Source organism: Homo sapiens, chromosome 4 (genome assembly GCF_000001405.40).
Source record: "Homo sapiens chromosome 4, GRCh38.p14 Primary Assembly".
Taxonomy (NCBI): Eukaryota; Metazoa; Chordata; class Mammalia; order Primates; family Hominidae; genus Homo; species Homo sapiens.
Window position 1 is genome coordinate 115,078,009 of NC_000004.12, and position 19,453 is coordinate 115,097,461.

The following is a 19,453-nucleotide window of genomic DNA, read 5'->3' on the forward strand; positions in this document are numbered from 1 at the left end:
TACTCATTGTCAATTTTTATCCAAGAATCAGATGTTCTATTTCTCTATCACTTCCTTTAGTTCAAAAAAAATGAATGTAGAATGCATTTGTATTATTTTGTTCTTGTATTGCTCTAAAAAAACACCTGAGACTGGAAAATTTATAAAGAAAAAAAGGATTAATTGGCTCACGGTTCTGCAGGCTGTACAGGAAGCATAGCAGCTTCTGCTTCTGGGGAGATATAAGGAAGCTTCCAATCATGGTAGAAGGCAAGGGGGTGCCAGGTATCTCACATGGTGGAAGCAGGAGCAAAAGAGAGAGTGTGTGTTTAGAAGACAGGAAGATGAGGATATGTTTGGAACTTCCTAGAGACTGGTTTTAAATGGTAGTGACCAAAATGCTGATAGTGATATGGACAGTGAAATACAAGCTAAGGAGGTCTCAGATGGAAATGAGGAACTTATTGGGGACTGGAGAAAAGGTCATTTTTTGTTATGCCTTAGCGAACAACTATGCTACATTGTGCCCCTGCCCTGTGGATCTGTGGAACTTGAACTTAAATGTGATGATTTAGGGTATCTGGTGGAAGAAATTTCTAAGCAGCAAAGCATTCAAGAAGTGGTGGGTGGATCACGAGGTCAGGAGTTCAAGATCAGCCTGGTAGGGATAGTGAAACCCTGTCTCTACTAAAAATACAAAAAAAATTAGCAGGCATGGTGGTGGGTGCCTGTAATCCCAACTACTCAGGAGGCTGAGACAGAGAATTGCTTGAACCCGGGAGGCGGAAGATGCAGTGAGCTGAGATTGTGCCACTGCACTCCAGCCTGGGCAATAGAGCAAAACTCTCTTCCGCCCCCACCAACCCCCGCCCAAAAAAAGTGACCTGGATGCTTCTAACAACCTATACTGGGATACATAAGCAAAGAAATGACCTAAAGTCAGAACTGATATTTAAAGGAGAAGCAGAACTGTGAGGCAATTAAAGCTCTTCTTCATAAATTACCCAGTTGCAGCTATATAGTCATTTGAGAATGAACTAACACAGCATTAAAAAAAAAATTTCCCATTATACACTACATTACTACAGGCACGGTGGCTCAGGCCTGTAATCCCAGCACTTTGGGAGGACAAGGTGGGCAGATCACAAGGTCATGAGATCGATACCATCCTGGCCAACATGGTGAAACCCCGTCTCTACTAAAAAAGTACAAAAATTAGCTGGGTGTGGTGGTGCATGCCTGTAGTCCCAGCTACTCAAGAGGCTGAGGCAGGATAAATGCTTGAACCTGGGAGGCAGAGGTTGCAGTGAGCTGAGATCACACAACTGCATGCCAGCCTGGCCAGTCTGGGCAACAAGAGCAAAACTCTGTCTCAGAAAAAAAAAAAAAAAAAAATCCCAAACTGCTTCATCACGAATGGACATAATTTTCCATTATTATTAGATGTTTTTCTTTGTATAGATGATTCTGACTTCAATGAATTACTTTCTATACAAGCTTACTTCATCTGTCTCTACACTGTTAGAGTACTTAAATAATTTTCGATTTCCCAGTTTGCCAAACTTTCCCTAGGATAACTATTTTGGGTGAAAATAGTTCATGTTATCAATGTGTGATATATATATTTAAGATATGCATTACATCAGACATATTACATCAGAGAGAATTAAACTAGCATGCTTTTTAATGAGTGGTATGTTCTATCACACTGTGGATATTTTATGGATTTCTTTATTTTTTAATTGGGGGATCTGAGTGATGAATGCTTATTAATGATGACTGAAAACTTTTTAGATTACATAGTTAAACATTGCAAAATTATGTCGCTACTTTTCATTTTATATTTCTATGTTCTACAATACTTAACCTCATTAGTAATTTAAGTTTTAAAAATCTGCATGATGTTGAAATGGTTGTTTTTGTCAGAAAATAACTTTTAAACTTTTTCAAAAAATTAAAAATTTTCATCAAATATTTTAAATATTTTAACACTTCAGATTCCAAATATATAAGTGGACCTTAGCTTTTCACTGTGAAACATATTGTACCAGTTTGCAGTCTCCCCAGTGACTTCACATGGACTTTAAAAACAAATGAATCCCACATGTTGGGGAATTACTAATACTCTATTTACAAATTTTATTTGTTTCATTTATTTATTTATTTTGAGATGGAGTCTTGCTCTGTCACCCAGGCTGTAGTGCAGTGGCCTGATCTGGGCTCACTGCAGCCTCCACCTCCCAAGGTCAAGTGATTCTCCTGCCTCAGCCTCCCTAGTAGCTGGGATTACAGGCACACACCTTCAAGTCCAGCTAATTTTTGTATTTTTAGTAGAGACTGGGTTTCACCATGTTGGCCAGGCTGGTCTCAAACTCCTGACCTCAGGTGATCCACCCACCTCGGCCTCCCAAAATGCTGGGATTGCAGGCATGAGTGACTACGCCCAGCCAAATGAAATTCTTTAATGTAATTGTCTGCTTTGCAAAAGTCTTTGTTTCAAAACTCAGCTCCCTTTAACCAAATTGGATTGCATTTTACTAAAAAGAAATGGAATACAGCAATAAAAAGGCTTTGGTTTGGTCTGAAATATATAAAGCAATTATATTATATCCTCTACTTTTATGTATGCTTGAAAATTTTCATATGTAAATTTTTTAAATAAAAACTCATTAAAAGATACATATATACATATATATAGTGTGTAGTGTGTGTGTGTGTGTGTAATAATGAAAGTGAAAGATATTTGGAACTTGTCGAAGGAGATTATTAATCTTATATCAATTCTTAGATTTATCCAAGCTCACATATTTAATTTAAAAATCTATTTAAACAAATGTAAAATCAGACCCACCCCATCCACACAACTCCCCCAAATAACCCAATAAGAGCAGATACCTACTTACATGCTTTGGAGGATTGCTTAGTATTTTAGGAATAAATTTAACCAGGAGATTCGGAGAGAAATTAAATGTAGGACAAGTTAATACTTGGTTTAATCTTTACTTCTTCTCACATTAAAAATGTGATTTTTATTTTTGAATACACAAAGGAGAATATGTCAGTTTTGCATATTTAGACTATCTCCTCCTAATGCAATAGTGAAAAATAAATTAAAAAAAAAACCATATGGGGCAAGAATCTGCCAACCCAAAGAATAAATAAAATTTAAATGTGAAATTTATTTAACAGTAATATGTTCAGAGTTAGAAGAATGATAGATACATATTACCACCATGGAAGACATATGTGTTTTCAATGTAGGTGTTTTAACTAAAGGAGTTATCCTTCCCATTCAATTCTCCCAGTTCTCCTTCCCTAGCAAAACTGGCCGGTGGAGATGAGGAAGCCTGGACCATACAACTTGATATACCATAAGTGTTTACCTATGTCTCACACCTGAAGTAAGAAATGGTATTATGACATTGTTTAGGATGCCAAAAAGGTGTAGTCTGTGATTAGTTTGAATCTCTTACCTACTGTGTGACCCTTGAAAAGGTGGGGGAAAAGGCATGCAGGAGTATGGATAGGGAGAGCAACCAACATAAGAATCTTAAGTCGTTACCATAAGTCGAATAAGACAATTGAGATTAATTTTCAAAAGGCACGTGTTAAATGAGTCACATAAAATTAAAAAAATTACTTCAGGATAATAACGAAGACATTAAAATGCTGCTATAATGGTATAAAATATGTGGCATTTATTTTTAAGTAGTCTAAGGTGATACACCAAAATTTTTATTTTACCTTAATTAGTTTCTTCTTCAGGAAGACCCTGGGACAAGTCAGCAAGAAACAGAAACATTTGAGAGCTTTCCTTTCCCCACTTTCCCCTTATATGGTGATGTTGACCTTTCATTATAGAAATAACAGACAAATATGTGGATTACTGAGTAAATTCCATCTGTGGAAAAACTATTTTATTAACCATCAAACCAAGTAAGTTAAACAGGCTTTGGTCCCAATTCTTCTTAATCTGACTTTCCATGTTCTAATAAATCTTTCGTTAAAAATTTGGAAGGAGAGATCTACTCATTATTTTCATGACAACCTGTCACAAAATGTGGGCTTCATGACCCCTGCACAGGCTTTGATAAGAAAAAAAGGGAGGCTTTTGTAGGTGTTGATTTTCCTGTTCTCATTTTTGTTTTCTTATTTTTACCTTCTATCCTTCCAAATGTGGCTTATCACCTAGGTAGTGGAATAAATATCTCCTAGAATCTTTGACTCTCTTTCAAGATTAGAAAATATTATATGATGATATTAACACTATTGTTTTATATATCTGTTATAAGATTGCCTTTTGACATTTTCAAAATGTGTTTAGAGATTCTCTAAAATACAGTTTGCAAAGTTCATTTGCCACATAATCATGGTAAATTTCTAGTAATCTCTGGTAGCAGCAGAGAAGTGAGTTAGTAAACAAAGCAATTACAGGTACTACTGTAGTTATTGCTACTTTTGGAAAGGCTGAAATACAGAAGAAAGCTAGATACTAAATCACATTGCATATACGTGTGGTTGTTTCTTTGTTGAAGGTGATCTGATGAGCTGTACAGATCACTAAAGAGGCTCCTGAAAATTCAGCTGAAATTGAGAACAAGAGCAACGACGTTTACCAGCATTTAATAAATGGCTACTGCTTGCTAGTAACTATGCTATATTCTTTGTATTCATCATCCTGTTTACTCTTTATGGATCTATTTTTAAAATGACAAAATTAAAATTTAGAAGGTTTAAGAACGGAACTAAGATTAAACTACTAATGATTTATGATACTAGGATTCTACAGTTGCACTGTAGAGAAGAAACAAAGATTAAGTTAAGTGAAGCCAAAAACTTAGCAGTCAGCATAATTAAATAATTTAACTGCAAATCAGCAAGTTTTATTTTAATTTTAAAAGTTCAGCTATTCAAAGCCAAAAATGTCTACCAAAAATGGAGAAAAATTGTAGAGGTGAATTAAATTGATTTGAAAGAGCTGTGTTGTAAATTGGAATGACTTAAGAATTTGCAATAATTTCACTGACCTTGACTTTTCGTGATGGCTGTGAGAAAACTATTTTATTATATACCTTGTTTTTACATGCTTCATGCGTTTTTTTGTTGGCTTTTAAGAATCATAAAGAATTAGCTCATATTTTATATTAATGAAACAGAATTTTTAATTAAAGCTGTTACCTAGGCCAGGCATTGTGGCTCACACATGTAATTCCAGCACTTTGGGAGTCTGAGGCTGAAGGATTGCTTGAGTCCAGGAGTTTGAGACCAGCCTGGACAACAAAACAAGATCTTGTCTCAACACAAAAGAAAAAAGAAAACAAATTAGGCAGGTGCGGTGGTGTGAACCTGTAGTTCCAGCTACTTGGGAGGCTGAGGCAGGGAGTTTACCTTGAGCCCAAGAGTTCAAGGTTGCAGTGAGCTATGATTGCACCACTGCACTCCAGCCTGGGTGACAGAGGGATACCCTGTCTGGAAACACACAAAAACCAGAAAACACAAAAATTATTATATAAACATTTAACTATTTGTTCATATACATTAACTGCACCAGTGCTTCTTTGGAGTGAATTCCAAAATTTGTAACCATCTAAAATGGTTTGGCTGTGTCCTCACCCAAATCTCATCTTGAATTACAGTTCCCATAATCCCCATGTGTTGTAGGAGGGACCTGTTGGGAGGTAATTGAATCATCGTGGTGGTTATCTCCATGCTGTTCTTGTGATAGTGAGTTCTCATGAGATCTGATGCTTTTATAAGGAGCTTCCCCCCTTTGTTCAGCACTCATTCTCTCTCGTCACCCTGTGAAGAGGTACCTTCTGCCATGATTGTAAGGTTCCTGAGGACTCCCCAGCCATGAGGAACTGCGAGTCAATTAAACCTCTTTTCTTTATAAATAACCCAGTATCAGGTGTTTCTTCATAGAAGCGTGAGAATGGACTAATACACTAAGCAAGTACCTCAGAGAGTGAGGCACTGCTGTAAATACCCTGAAAATGTTGAAGCAACATTGGAACTGGGTAACAGGCAGAGGTTGGAACAGTTTGGAAGGCTCAGAAGAAGACAGGAAAGTAAGATAAAGTTTGGAACTTCCTAGAGATTTGTCGAATAGCTTTGACCAAAATGCTGATAACAATATGAACAATGAAGTCCAGGCTGAGGTGATCTCAGATGTTGATGAGGAACTTGTTGGGAACTGGAATAAAGGGGATTCTTGCTATGCTTTAGCAAAGAGACTGGGCCCTGCCCTAGAGAGCTGTGGAACTTTGAACTTGAGAGAGATGATTTAGGGTATCTGGTGGAAGAAATTTCTAAGTGGCAAAGCATTCAAGAGGAAGCGAAGCATGAAAATTTGGAAAATTTGCAGCCCGATGATGCAGTAGAAAAGAAAAACCCATATTCTGGGGAGAAATTCAAGCCTGCTGCAGAAATTTGCATAAGTAACAAGGAGCAGAATGTTAATCACCAAGACAATGGGGAAAACATCTTCAGGGCACGTCAGAGACCTTCATGGTAGCCCCTCCCATCACAGGCCTGGAGGCCTAGGAGGAAAAAATGGATTCATGCACCAGGTCCAGGGTCCCCCCTGCTGTGTGCAGCTTGGGATTTGGTGCCCCGTGCCTCAGGCTACTCCAGCTGTGGATAAAAGGGGCCAACATATAGCTCTGACTGTTGTTTCAGAGGGTGCAAGCCCCAAGCCTTGGTGGCTTTCATGTGGTGTTGGGCCTGTTGGCACACAGAAATCAAGAATTGAAGTTTGAGAACCTCCGCCTATAATTCAGAGGATGTATGGAAATGTCTGGATGTCCAGGCAAAAGTTTGATGCAGGGGCAGAGCCTTCATGGAGAACCTCTTCTAGGACAGTGTGGAAGGGAAATGTGGGGTTGTAGCCACCCCCCCCACAGTCCCTACTGTGGCACTGCTTAGTGAGAAGAGGGCCAGCATCCCCTAGACCCCAGAATGGTAAATTCACCACATCTTGCATCATGTACTTGAAAAAGCCACAGACACTGAATACCAACTGTGAAAGCAGATGTGAGGGGGGCTGTACCCTGAAAAGCTACAGGGGTGGAGCTCCCCAAGGCCATGGGAGCCCACCTCTTGCGTCAGCATGACCTGCATGTGAGACATGGAGTCAAAGGAGATAATTTTGGAACTTTAAGCTTAATGACTGCCCTATTGGATTTCAGAATTTCGTGGGGCCTGTAGCCTCTATGTTTTGGTCAAAGTCTCCCATTTGGAAGGGGTATATTTACCCAATGCCTGTACCCCCATTGTATCTAGGAAGTACTTAACTTACTTTTGATTATACAGGCTCATAAACAGAAGGGACTTGCCTTGTCTCATATGAGACTTTGGACTTGGACTTTTGGGTTAATGCTGGAATGAGTTAAGACTTTGGAGGACTGTTGGAAGGGTAAAATGTGAGGACATGAGATTTGGGAGGGGCAGGGCCATAATAATATGGTTTGGCTCTGTGTTCCCACCCAAATCTCATCTCGAATTGTAGTTCTCATAATTCCTACGTGTCATAGAAGGGACCTGGTGAAAGGTAATTGAATCATGAGGGTGGTTACCCCCATGCTGCTCTCATGATACTGAGTGAGTTCTCACAAAATCTGACTGTTTTATAAGGTGATTTTCCCCCTTTGCTCAGCACTCATTCTCTCTCCTGCCACCCTGTAATGAGATGCCTTCTACCATGATTTTAAGTTTCCTGAGGCCTCCCCAGCCATGTGGAACTGTGAGTCAATTAAACCTCTTTTCTTTATAAATTACCCAGTCTTGGGTATTTCTCCACAGAGTGTGAGAATGACTTAGTACCTCATCTTTCAAGAGAGATGCAGTATTTTTCAAATTACAGGTCACCAACAAGTAAGTGAAAATGAAGTAGACCAGAATAGAAATATTGTCATACTTCATGTACAGCAGAGGTAAGTAGTGCTTTATGAAACTTTATGTTATGGTGTCCGTATATGCATGTGTGTGTATTTGGATACCAATGTAAGATTATTGCTTATTCTGGGTCATGGTCAAAAGTGTTTGAGGAGCACTACTCAGTAGGGCACAATTAATTCAAATTATTTAATCTGGTTAAAAGAATTATAAATATCATAAAGGTTTTAGCTAAAGATCAATGCAGTCTCTTATGATTCTGAGTGGTTTTGGAAAATATCCAATATTGATTAAATAGTAGTTGAGACTATGAAATGGTTGATATCACATGGTTGGTCCCATGGAATTCCTTTCAGCTTCCAGGCCAAAAAATATTATGATATTATTTTCAGTAGCAACCACTGCTACATAAATCATAAATTTTTCAAAATAGAGGTACAAAGTAATGAGTAATTGTTATATTTAATCAAAATCGAGGTAGTATGCCCAGTTTATAATTTTCTGCAGAAATGATCTTTTCTATACCCATAAATAACCAGTTGATATCACCTAACTTCCATACACTTCATATATTCTTGATTTCAGTGACATAATATAAATTTATTTTAGTCCCCAAAGTGTGCATTTTTACCAGTACAAACTCCTAAAAGTGTCATTTCAAACATAATGATAACATTACTACCATAATATTATATTGTAACATAATATTATACTAGGTTCATAGCTCTGAGCTATCAGCTACATTCATACTTCAAAAGATTATGAAGTCAACTCAGTAAATAGAAGAGTAAATGTCAGGCGGTTTCTTTTATCACCATTTCCTGCAGAAATATGTATAGTGCCTATTCACCATTTTCTTAGTTCTTATTTTCTAAAGCAAAGAAAGGACATGATTTTTTAAAAATAAAGAGTCTAATTTATTAAAAGCAACTGCAAATTTCTATGCATTCATCTTGCTTATTAGAAAAACATGGGGATTTTGCAAATAAAGAAACTTTTATGTGGATATTTCTTCTGCTTTGCCATATAAGATTTAGATAGAGTAGTAGAAATGCTATCCGTGGCCAAGTTGAGAGGTCTGGTAATCACTGCTTGGAACTTTGTATTTATATTTATAGCTAAGATTTCATCACTGAATTTTACCCTTATACTACTAAAATAATAATCAAATGCCCAGAATGTGTGGACCAGAATTAAACAGGATTAAACAATTTTTGAATGCTTAGATCTGCCCCAGGGTTTCTGACATTCAGAAAGTTTCCTCAGGACCTTACTTAGGATGACTTTGGGATAAATCTGTGACTCTGTCTCATTTTGTATAGATTTGGAGGTAATATTTACAATGGGACATTTATAATCAAACTGAAACCAGACAGGCTATCTAAAATTCAGTTCAATCATGGATTTGCTCCTATTTTTCTCTTTTATGTAAGAAGCCAAGGCATTTATCTGACATCCATTCAGCAAATATATGTATTAACATTTATCAAGAGCCTATTTGCCAGGTACATCTGCAAATTCAAGTATTTCTCTTATTACCAGCAAAAACATCTAAATTATTTTGTTTTAATCTGTTCTCTGTTTCTTCCCTTTCCTATTTCCCCTTCTTCTCTAGAATTTTTTTCTTTTCTTATATTTTTCCTTGACAGTGGATGGTTTTAAAGTTACTGACTTAAGCTTATGCTAATGGAGTTCATGTGAAAAGTGTTGGCATTAATCTGCTAATCTATGTAACAATGTTGCGATTTCCTATCTTGATTTTTTTTCACTCCATATAAACAATTTATATGGAAGCTACAAAGGATGACTGAGGAAATATAATATCATATATAATATCATGATATGCTTTCCTGTTTAGATGTAATATTATTAGCCATTTTCATTCAAAAGTAAACTTTTTTTCTGTAACTTATCAGCAAGGATGATGTGAAAATGTTTTAGAAACTCAACTGCTTTTTTTCTTAACAAAATTTATGTATATTTTATACTTGAAAGTATTATAAATTTTGAAAACCCATAATATTAAAAATAAAATGAACATTAACAAATTCTTATTTCTTTCTATATTTTTCTGTATAATGTGTTTTTACAGTTTAAAATATAATTTTTATCTTATTTTTACACTTAGATTATGATAGTTATAATAAAAGGGGAAATGTGATTGAGACATCTTTGAAATATACATCATTATTTTATTTCTATTTCCCCAACTTATACTATTTTGATGATTTCAATAACTTTCTAAGCCACATGGTCCCTCTCCCTAGCTCCACAATCTTCTACTTTACAAAAAAAACAGAAAGTGAAGGTTGAACTGGCTCAAAATTATGCAGGGAGCCAAGCTGACTCCCTCCCACTAATGTTTCCCAAACTGAAAAATTCTCACTGTCCTTATCTGCCTCCTGATTCCATAGATAATGTATATCTCTTCTAAAGTTAATTTTTTTTTTTTTGCCTCCACCTATTTTCTAGAACTTCAGCCTCTCTCTTCTAGGGACTTTAAAAAACTGGTATAATGCTTTGTTAGTAATTGACCATAAACAGCATCTAAATGTTTCATCTGTAGACCATAAACACCTTCTAAATGTTTCATTTGTAATTATAATCTTCAGGTATCTGAATGGCTTCAGTCCCTACCACTTCCTCACCTTTCCTAGTTTCTGGGTTCTGTGTTTATTTTAGTTGGAGACTCCAGGTATCATTTTGTTAAGAAGTTTAGCTCATGCCCATGTTCATAACATTTTCTGTCACTCTCACCCCCACTCCCGCCCCCAATCCAAGCAACTGCCCTAATTTTTCTCTTTAGCTTCAGAGTCAAGCTTTTTGAGAGTTTACTCTTATAAATTGTTTCATCTTGTTATTCCTGCACTTTATGTGTTGAACCATTTACAGTTCTGGAATGACCCAGGTTATCTCTTTTATCTTTAAGTCTAATCAGTTCTTATTCATTTTTAGAAAGATTCAGCTTGGATAAAACTACCTCAAAAAAGTCACCCCTGGCATTACAGAAGTTAGTTTAGTGAGTGTGTCTGTCTCCACAATGCTGTCATAGTACAGCCTATAACACAGACATTTTAAATGAGTAATTATTCATGGATTTCCACCAAGGCAGGAACTGTGATTTATTTAGAATTGAATCTTCTGCATTTTGTAAACTTCCTGCTATTTAATGCACAAAACAATTATGCCAAAACAACAATAACCATATTTATGTCTTGAATATATTCACCTTCTTTCTCTACCCCAAGGTACAACTCAAATGATCTTTTCTCCAGACACTTGTTGGGAAAGGTGGTGGATGGAAGGAGTCTGAACTTCAGTTTCTTCATTTTCTAAATGAAGGATATAAAATGGTTTATATTTCTATTTCCATGTATACACTCATCAGGGAAGATTTGGAAGGATGCTCAACAAAATATTGATCGTCTCTGTTTTGTATTTTCTATATTATTTCATTTTTTTCAAGAATCATATACTAGCTGTATAAAAGCACAAAAATGTAGGATCTTTTAAATGGGTGAGTTTCATAACTGTAAGTTTGCTTCAAACTATAAAATTCTATAATCTTATGAATAACAAGCCTTTCCTATTCATGCCTGTCTCTGGTAGTCTTTCTTCCTCTAAATCTCTGAAGAATATATTGTCCTTATCTTTTTTATAATACCTTTGCATTTTTACATAACTGGTTTATGTGTCTTCCCCAGAAGACTGTGGGTACATTTTCAATAGCCTAATCTATATAAAAAGCTTCTCTTTTCACAATAAGCTACTTAGTTTATTTTCCTTCAAGCATAACCCAATACTAAATTAGACACACAGTAGATTAGTAACAATCTTGAGTAAGTCAGTTAAATTGACGTTCAATGTTATAATGTTTTAATAGTTTTTTATTGGAACAATGATCTCAGAATCAAGCCTAAAGTTTTGAAAATTGGAAAACCAATTGCACCAAATTATCTCTAAGTTTACTGATTATCAACCAGACCCCATTTGTAGTCACAGGATATGTAGGTCTGGAGAAATCTGGATTATATTAATATTGGTATATGTCCCCACAGAATTTATCTATTTATTTATATTAATTTTATTTTTATATTTTGGTAAGCACACAAAATTTGATCTACCATCTTCACCAACTTTAAGTGTAACATGCAGTATTATTGCAGTATTATTTAAAAGTCTCAGCTGATTATTTTTAAATACAATGATAAATATATCATTTCTACCTCAATCATTAATTTTTTATGTTATTTTTAGAAGACTTTTTCTAATGAATTTTTTACTACTCAATCCTTTCTCTTGTATTTCAGAGAAGGAAATATATATTTTTACTAGGCACAAAACACAGCTATAAAGGACCTATAAAGTACCTCTACCAATAGAATAACCTATTCTACAGAGTTATGTTCTTGACTTTAAAACATTTTTAAAAAATGATATTTACACCTAATTTTTATTTTTTAAAAATCCAAAATAATGATAGAAGATAATTTATTATAAGGAATGAATATTTCCTAAAGTTGTAAAATACTCAGCCAAAACTAAAGTGAAAAAGGATCTAATTAAATTACAGAAAGATAACATAATAAAATGAAATAATTTATTCTCAATCCAGTCACCTTTTTTTATAACAGGCCATAAAACAGATTTGTTAATTATATTTGATATTTTTTTCTAGAATTAGGAAATAATAACCTGTCTATCGGTATATCACGTTTATGTGAAAGGAGAAAATAAAAAATTTGATTTTTTTAATGGGTATTTCTGAACACTCTTTTGGTCTCCTAACTTTTTCAACACTAGAGGGCAATATACTCTTGCTTTTATTGCAAAAATAGGCCAACAGCACCTGTTCTCCATTGACAGGTTACTAAACTAAAGAAAGTGTTAACTAGATAAGTCCAGGGAGTATAGGTAACTGGGCTCTCAGGATGAGCATCGTGCTGTTGACATCAGCGAAAGATCAGTGACTCAATGTTAAAATACTAATTTTGCCACAATTACACACCAAATACATTTTAATCAATTCTCTTCTTCACATTGTAATGAACAGCCATTTTTATATTGCTTGTATGGTTCCCTGCTTCTGAAGTTTTATTTCTGTTTTTCAATATACATCTTTTTGTTACTGTTGTGCACAAAAGAAGAAAAAATAAAACATCACCTCTGTTTAATATTCTGCTAATTTTTGTGAACTTTTAAGGTCTAAATCTTTTTCTGAAAGGAAGAGAGGTACAATATCTACAATTCATATATATCTAAAACAAATTTTGATACATCTTGGTTTCAAATTAACATTTGTCCAGTATCATATTTATTTTATTTTAAGTATATACAATAATATGCATTTGTTTTGGCAAAATAAATTTGCTTTTTCATTTTATATTTCTCTGTTATGCAAACGTGTGTGTAATAATTTCATTTACAAGAAATGACAAAATTTCTAAATATTTGAATCTGCTCAAAGGATTAATCATTTATTTTTTAAGAATCCAAAATCAACATAAAATGAACAATATGAACAACTTATATACAAAAGACAAATGTGTACACCATGGTTTAGATTATTTCTCCATCTACTCTTCTTCTCAATTGTGAGGTAGAAAGAAAAAACACAAGAGCTATATTTGAAATAACTTAAAATTGTGGCTACAATTTCCACTTAGAATGGCATTATAATTTATTTGTAAATTAGGCTTTCTGGATACCAACTTCTATTGTTCATAGTTATATTTTAAAGTTGTCACATTATGTGGTTCCATTATAATTTATCATTTACATGAGAATTTGTGAAAATACATGTTCATATGCAGTTGTTTTGTAGCTAATTTGAAAGATAACGTATCATTAGGAGGTTGTGCTTGCAATGAAGTATACTCAGATTAATCATTCTGAGTAAAATGCACATATATATAATAGATTTTATTTTTATTCATGTTTTGAAATCCTTTCCAAAGTTGCTTTCCCTAAATAAGTGATTAAAATTTGTTAAAGTATTTTTTGGTACTAACAAACCTTTGGTAACTATCACTGAATTTGTCATAAATGAGTACTAAATAACACTATAATATAAGATGCAAACTATATAACTGGAATGCAAACATCGAGATGATTACATGTAATTCAAAAAATAGTCCTTAATTAGGTTTAGTAACATTACTCTACTGAAGTTATGGTTAAGGGCATGTAAACACACACACAAATATCAGAAAAGTCCAGTTTGAAAAGTAGCCATAGAGCAAATATTGCACGACCAGCCTGGGCAATACTGGGATCTGGGAGTTCTTCAAGTGCCACTGCTATTGGTGCCCTTAAACTATGGATGTAGGTGAAGACCCCCAACCTAAAAGGAATTTTTTTTCTGCACCCACTTATTCCCTCATTCACTAGCTTCTGATTCAAAGTCAGCCAGAGGTATTTCAGAATAGCTGCTTTCAGTAGGCATGCCCATGACTTGGCTGTGAGGGAGGCTGGAAAACAATTATTTGATATCTGTAAATGAGGGGGAAACTCATATAATCACGAATTTCTCAAACGTAAGAAGCATGTTCAAGTTGCTGGATATAAGTGAAGTTAAAAAATGATAAAATGTCAGTTAGTCTAAATGAACGTGAGTATAGAATACGGTAATAATAAAATCCTGAGGGATTAAAATCAAAACCAAATAATTGAAATAAATAAGAACAATAGTATAAAAGTACTAAGGGAATAAATGGAGTAAAATGTTCTAGAAATGCTGTATTTTCTGCAAAGGTCATAGTATCAGTTAACTTTGCATATTGGTAAGTTAAGGGTGTATATTGTAGTTTCTAGTGAAACCAATAAAGAATATACCTATCTATGCATATTCTTCAACATCAAAACTAGTAGTGGAGAAAAAATAAAATAAGAGAAAAATATTCAATTAAAAAAATTTAGTAGAAACCTACAGCACATAAGACTAGTAGAAAACACAAAATAAATAGGTCTGTTTAGGTTAGTAATCACGTTAAAAGTAAATTAACTAAATTATCTTTCAAAAACAAAAATTTGCAGATTGACTGAAAAAATCCAAGTATATGCTGTTTACAATGGATATAAAATAATGGGTGAAAGTAATCATGAAAAAGATATGCAGAAATTATTTTGTGATGATAGAAAGTTCAATTCACCAGGGAGACATTAAAATTTAAATGTGTATGCATCCAATATCGTGGCCTCAAATTTACAAAGCAAAAATAGTCAGAACTACAATAAAACATTTATAAATTCCCAATCACAGAGTAAGAATTCATACCATTTCTCAAGAATAATTTTATAATAAATTGGATAGAACATTAGAGCGGTGGCTCATGCCTGTAATCTCAGCATTTTGGGAGGCCAAGGTGGGCAGATCATGAGGTCAGGAGATCGAGACTATCCTGGCTAACACGGTGAAACCCCATCTCTACTAAAAATACAAAAAGTTAGCTGGGCGTGGTGGCGGGTGCCTGTAGTCCCAGCTACTCTAGAGGCTGAGGCAGGAGAATGGCGTGAATCCGGGAGGCAGAGCTTGTAGTGAGCTGAGATAGCGCCACTGCACTCCAGCCTGGGTGACAGAGCAAGACTCCGTCTCAAAAAATAAAAAAAAAATAAAGAAGACCTAAATAATATGACTAACAAATTTGGTCTAAAAGACATATGCAAAATATGATTCTCAAGACCTGTAAAATATTAGGGAATTTGGGAATATTTACAAAAATAAATCATTCCAAGCCCCAAATGGAGTCTCAACAAATTTTAAAGAGCTAAAAATCACATGGAGCATATGCACTATGACTGTAATGCCATGTACCCAGCAACTAATAACAAAATAACTAGAAAATGCTCCTGTATTTAAAATTTAAGAAACATAATTAAAAACAATTATAAATAAGATATGAGTAAAATACATTTAAGAGTTTTAGAAGCATGTACCTGAAAAAGTCTGAAAATTAATAAGCTAATAATGTAAGCGGTCATCTTAAAAAGCTAGAAAAAGCAATAAAACAATAAAAAGATGGTAGAAGGAAAGAAACAATAAAGATGAGCAGAACACATTCAGATATTCAGATAAGAAATACAATAGAGAGAAAAATAAAGCAAGAAGCTGATTTTTTTAAAACAGCTAATCAATTTGACAAACCTCTGCTGACATGAAGATAAAACAAGATAAAGCAAACATAACTGATGGAAATGAAAAAGAGAAAGTAAACTACATCTGCTTCAGATGTTAAAAAAATAAAAGAAAATTATTAATGAAGTTATTAAATATTTTAATCTTCAGTACAATTACATGTACAAAGTTCCTATAAAATATTGCTTTATTAAAATGTAAGGTTTAGAGAAGCCTCAAAATGAATAAAGCAAAATAGAATTTGAATAGTCAAAAATATTTCCAGAAAGAAACCTCCAGTCACTGATGTCAACAGAAGATCTCATCAAAACTTCAAAGAATAATGTAATTCCAACCTAACACAATCTGTTGTCAGAGAAATGATAAGAGTAATAGCTGTCAACCTTATTTTATAAGACTAACATAATGTTGATTGTAATAAATAATAAGAGAAAACACAAAAAAAATTACAAACAACATAATTCATGAATATAAGATGTAAAATTTGTAAACAAACATAAACCAAGCCAGTTATCTATAAAAAGAATAAAACATAATGACAAAGTTGCAAGCAGCCATTATAGGTTGAATTATTTCCCCTCTAAAATTAATATGTTGATTTTCTAACCCCCAGTATCTCAGAATGTGACCTTATTTGGAAATAGGATTGTTGCAGGTGTAATTAGTTAAGGTGAGGTCATGCTGTAGTAGGGTAGGCCCCTAGTCTAATATGACTGCTGTCTTTATAGAAGGGAGAAATGTGACAGACAAGCACACTGGGAGAATGCCACAAGCCAAGGAACTACCAGAAGCCAGAAGAGAGATCTGGAACAGATCCTTCCCTACCACTTTCAGAGGGAGCATGGCCCTGTTGTCACTTTGATCTAGAACTTCTAGCCCCCAGAACTGTGAGACAATACATTCCTGTTGTTTAAGGCACTCAGGTTTTAGTGCTTTATTATGGCAGCCCTAACAAACTAATACTTTATCTGTGGATTGCAAAGTTAGTTGAATTTTTAAAAATTCATCAAGGCTCCCAACACAATGTCAGAGACAGCTGTCTACCAAGAATTCCAGCCCTTCTTTGCATGTTCCCACCTCATTCAAATCTTACAGCATGATCACTGCTGTAGGTATTGGGCTCCTCAGGTCTTAACTCATCAAACAGGAGCCTCACAACTTCCTTCATTATGCCATTTATCCCCGGCCATATCAGTTACCAAAGACACTCAGCACTCCAAGAACTTTCCTTATCCACCTAGCTAATACTGTTTGTGATGCTATTCCCTACCCTCTCTTTTTCTTGAAACCTTTCAGTGTGCTTAGCAGAAATCATGGTCAATCATCAGAAAAAGTATTTCCTTACATGGTGAAATGATTCTCCAAAGGTTTTCTTCATCTTCCTAGCTCTAACTGAAATCTGGCTTTCCCCTTAGGACCTCAGAGCTCTCTGGTATATGTTTTCTCTCCCAGTTAGTCTACTATTGGGTCAGGAAATTGGTTAGATGTCCTTTTTATTTCTCATTGTCACTAATAGCCTATTTTTCTTTTCTACTCCCTAAAATCCTCTAACTTTTCATCTTATCAAACCATACCACCTGCCTCTTCTCCTTAAAGCAATTACCAACTAGTACCTGGGTTAAACTCCTTTAATCCTAGAAAATCTTATCTTTTAGAAAACTCTCATGCTTTTAAAAAAGTACTCATGAATAATTATTGGTAATAAAGATATCCATATGGATGATCCTTCCAACACTATAGAGGTTTTATGCATCCTCTTAAATGTTTCTTCTTTCTCCCTACTATTGTTAACAGGCCCCATAGTCATATGCTAGGTCTTTTCATTATAATTAATCATTGTATAACAGTAAGCAATTAATAATATTTCATATATTGTGCTATCCAATCACAATCTTCTATTTCTTTTGCTCACTTCACCTGTTAATCCAACATCAACAATATTTCAAACCTCTAAAATCTTTAAGTCATTTATCCTTTAACTTTACACTCTCTCTCTCATGGCCTCACAATCCCCCTTACCCAGTTTAAATTCCATAATCAATTATTATATTAATTCTATTTTATATACTCTCAAATCATTTTACACTCTTTTATTTCATGATGTACATTTTTTAAAACAAAACTGACTAAATCCCACTGTCCACCAAATCTACACTTGCAATTCTGATAATGGATAGAACATTACTCAACACATTTTTTAGAACAAAACTGACTAAATCCCACTGTCCACCAAATCTACACTTGCAATTCTGATAATGGATAGAACATTACTCAACTGACTTAAATTCATGATCAGTAGACCCAAATGAGCTTTTAATTCTGTGATAAGTCTTGCTATCTCTTTTTAGTTCATTAACTATCTTTTCTCCTAGATGACTGTTTCATATTTTTCTCTATCTTCAAACTTCTAACATTTCTTTCCTTTTCATTGTTCTCATCTGATAATCTTGCTTTCTATTTCATAGAGAGCACAGTAGCAAGCAGACAAGGATTTTCATAAGCACTCAAACACTTATTCCCTATGTGAGTGTATGTTCTCTTTAGGATGAGTTATCCATTCTAGCTAAGGACACCCTCCTTAGCTAGAACAAGTGTTCACCAGTTCTAATGCATTATCACTTACTCACTGAAGATATTGCTTCAGTAATACTTTTCACACTCCCATGTAGCAATAATATTTTCCTTCTCGACTAAAATATCCATTCTAACACAGGCATTCTGTTCTTTTTTATCATGATTCACTTACTTCACAATCTATCGCTATATTTTGTTCCTGTCTACAGCAAAACTGTTTGAAATGCTAAGTCCAATTTTTCTAGGACCTACTCCAATCAGGCTTACCATCACAACTTCATTGAAATTTATTTTATAAATGTCACCAATAAACTTCACGTTGTAAAATCCATTTATCAATTTTTGCTCCTCATCTTATCTTACTTTACCTATAAGCGGCATTTTATACCCCTGATCATCCCCTCAACCGCACAGAAACTATCTTTAGTAAGCTTCTAGGAAATCGTATATTTCAGTTTCTTTATGACTTAGTCACAATTTATGTTTTTTCTTAATCCTTACCTTCTAAATGTGAAGTTCCCCAGGGCCTATTCTTTACTCTTCTACTCTTTTCTATTTATATTCACTTCCTTGGGATATCTTACAATGTTCTAGTTTTAAGTACTATTGATAAAGTTGACTTCAAAGTTTACGCTTCCAGCTAAATCTATTACCAACTCCTGTTTGTATATCTAACCACATATGTGATATTTTCACTTGGAAATCTAATGGGCATTTCCAACTTAAATGAGACCAAACCTGATTATCTGATATTTTCCTTTATCCTAAACTTATTCTTCCCACTGTTTCTCCATATAAGTAAATGATGCTTAATTTTTAAATTTGTTTAGGAACTCTCTTTCTCTCTATCTCTATTGGGGCTGGCCATTGACT

General features: G+C 34.5%; 1 protein-coding gene across 2 annotated transcripts in view; it reads right to left on the minus strand.

The window, feature by feature from the left end:
- NDST4 (N-deacetylase and N-sulfotransferase 4) overlaps positions 1-19,453 on the minus strand; it is a 285,858-nt gene that overhangs the window by 250,246 nt on the left and 16,159 nt on the right. The window lies entirely within an intron of this gene.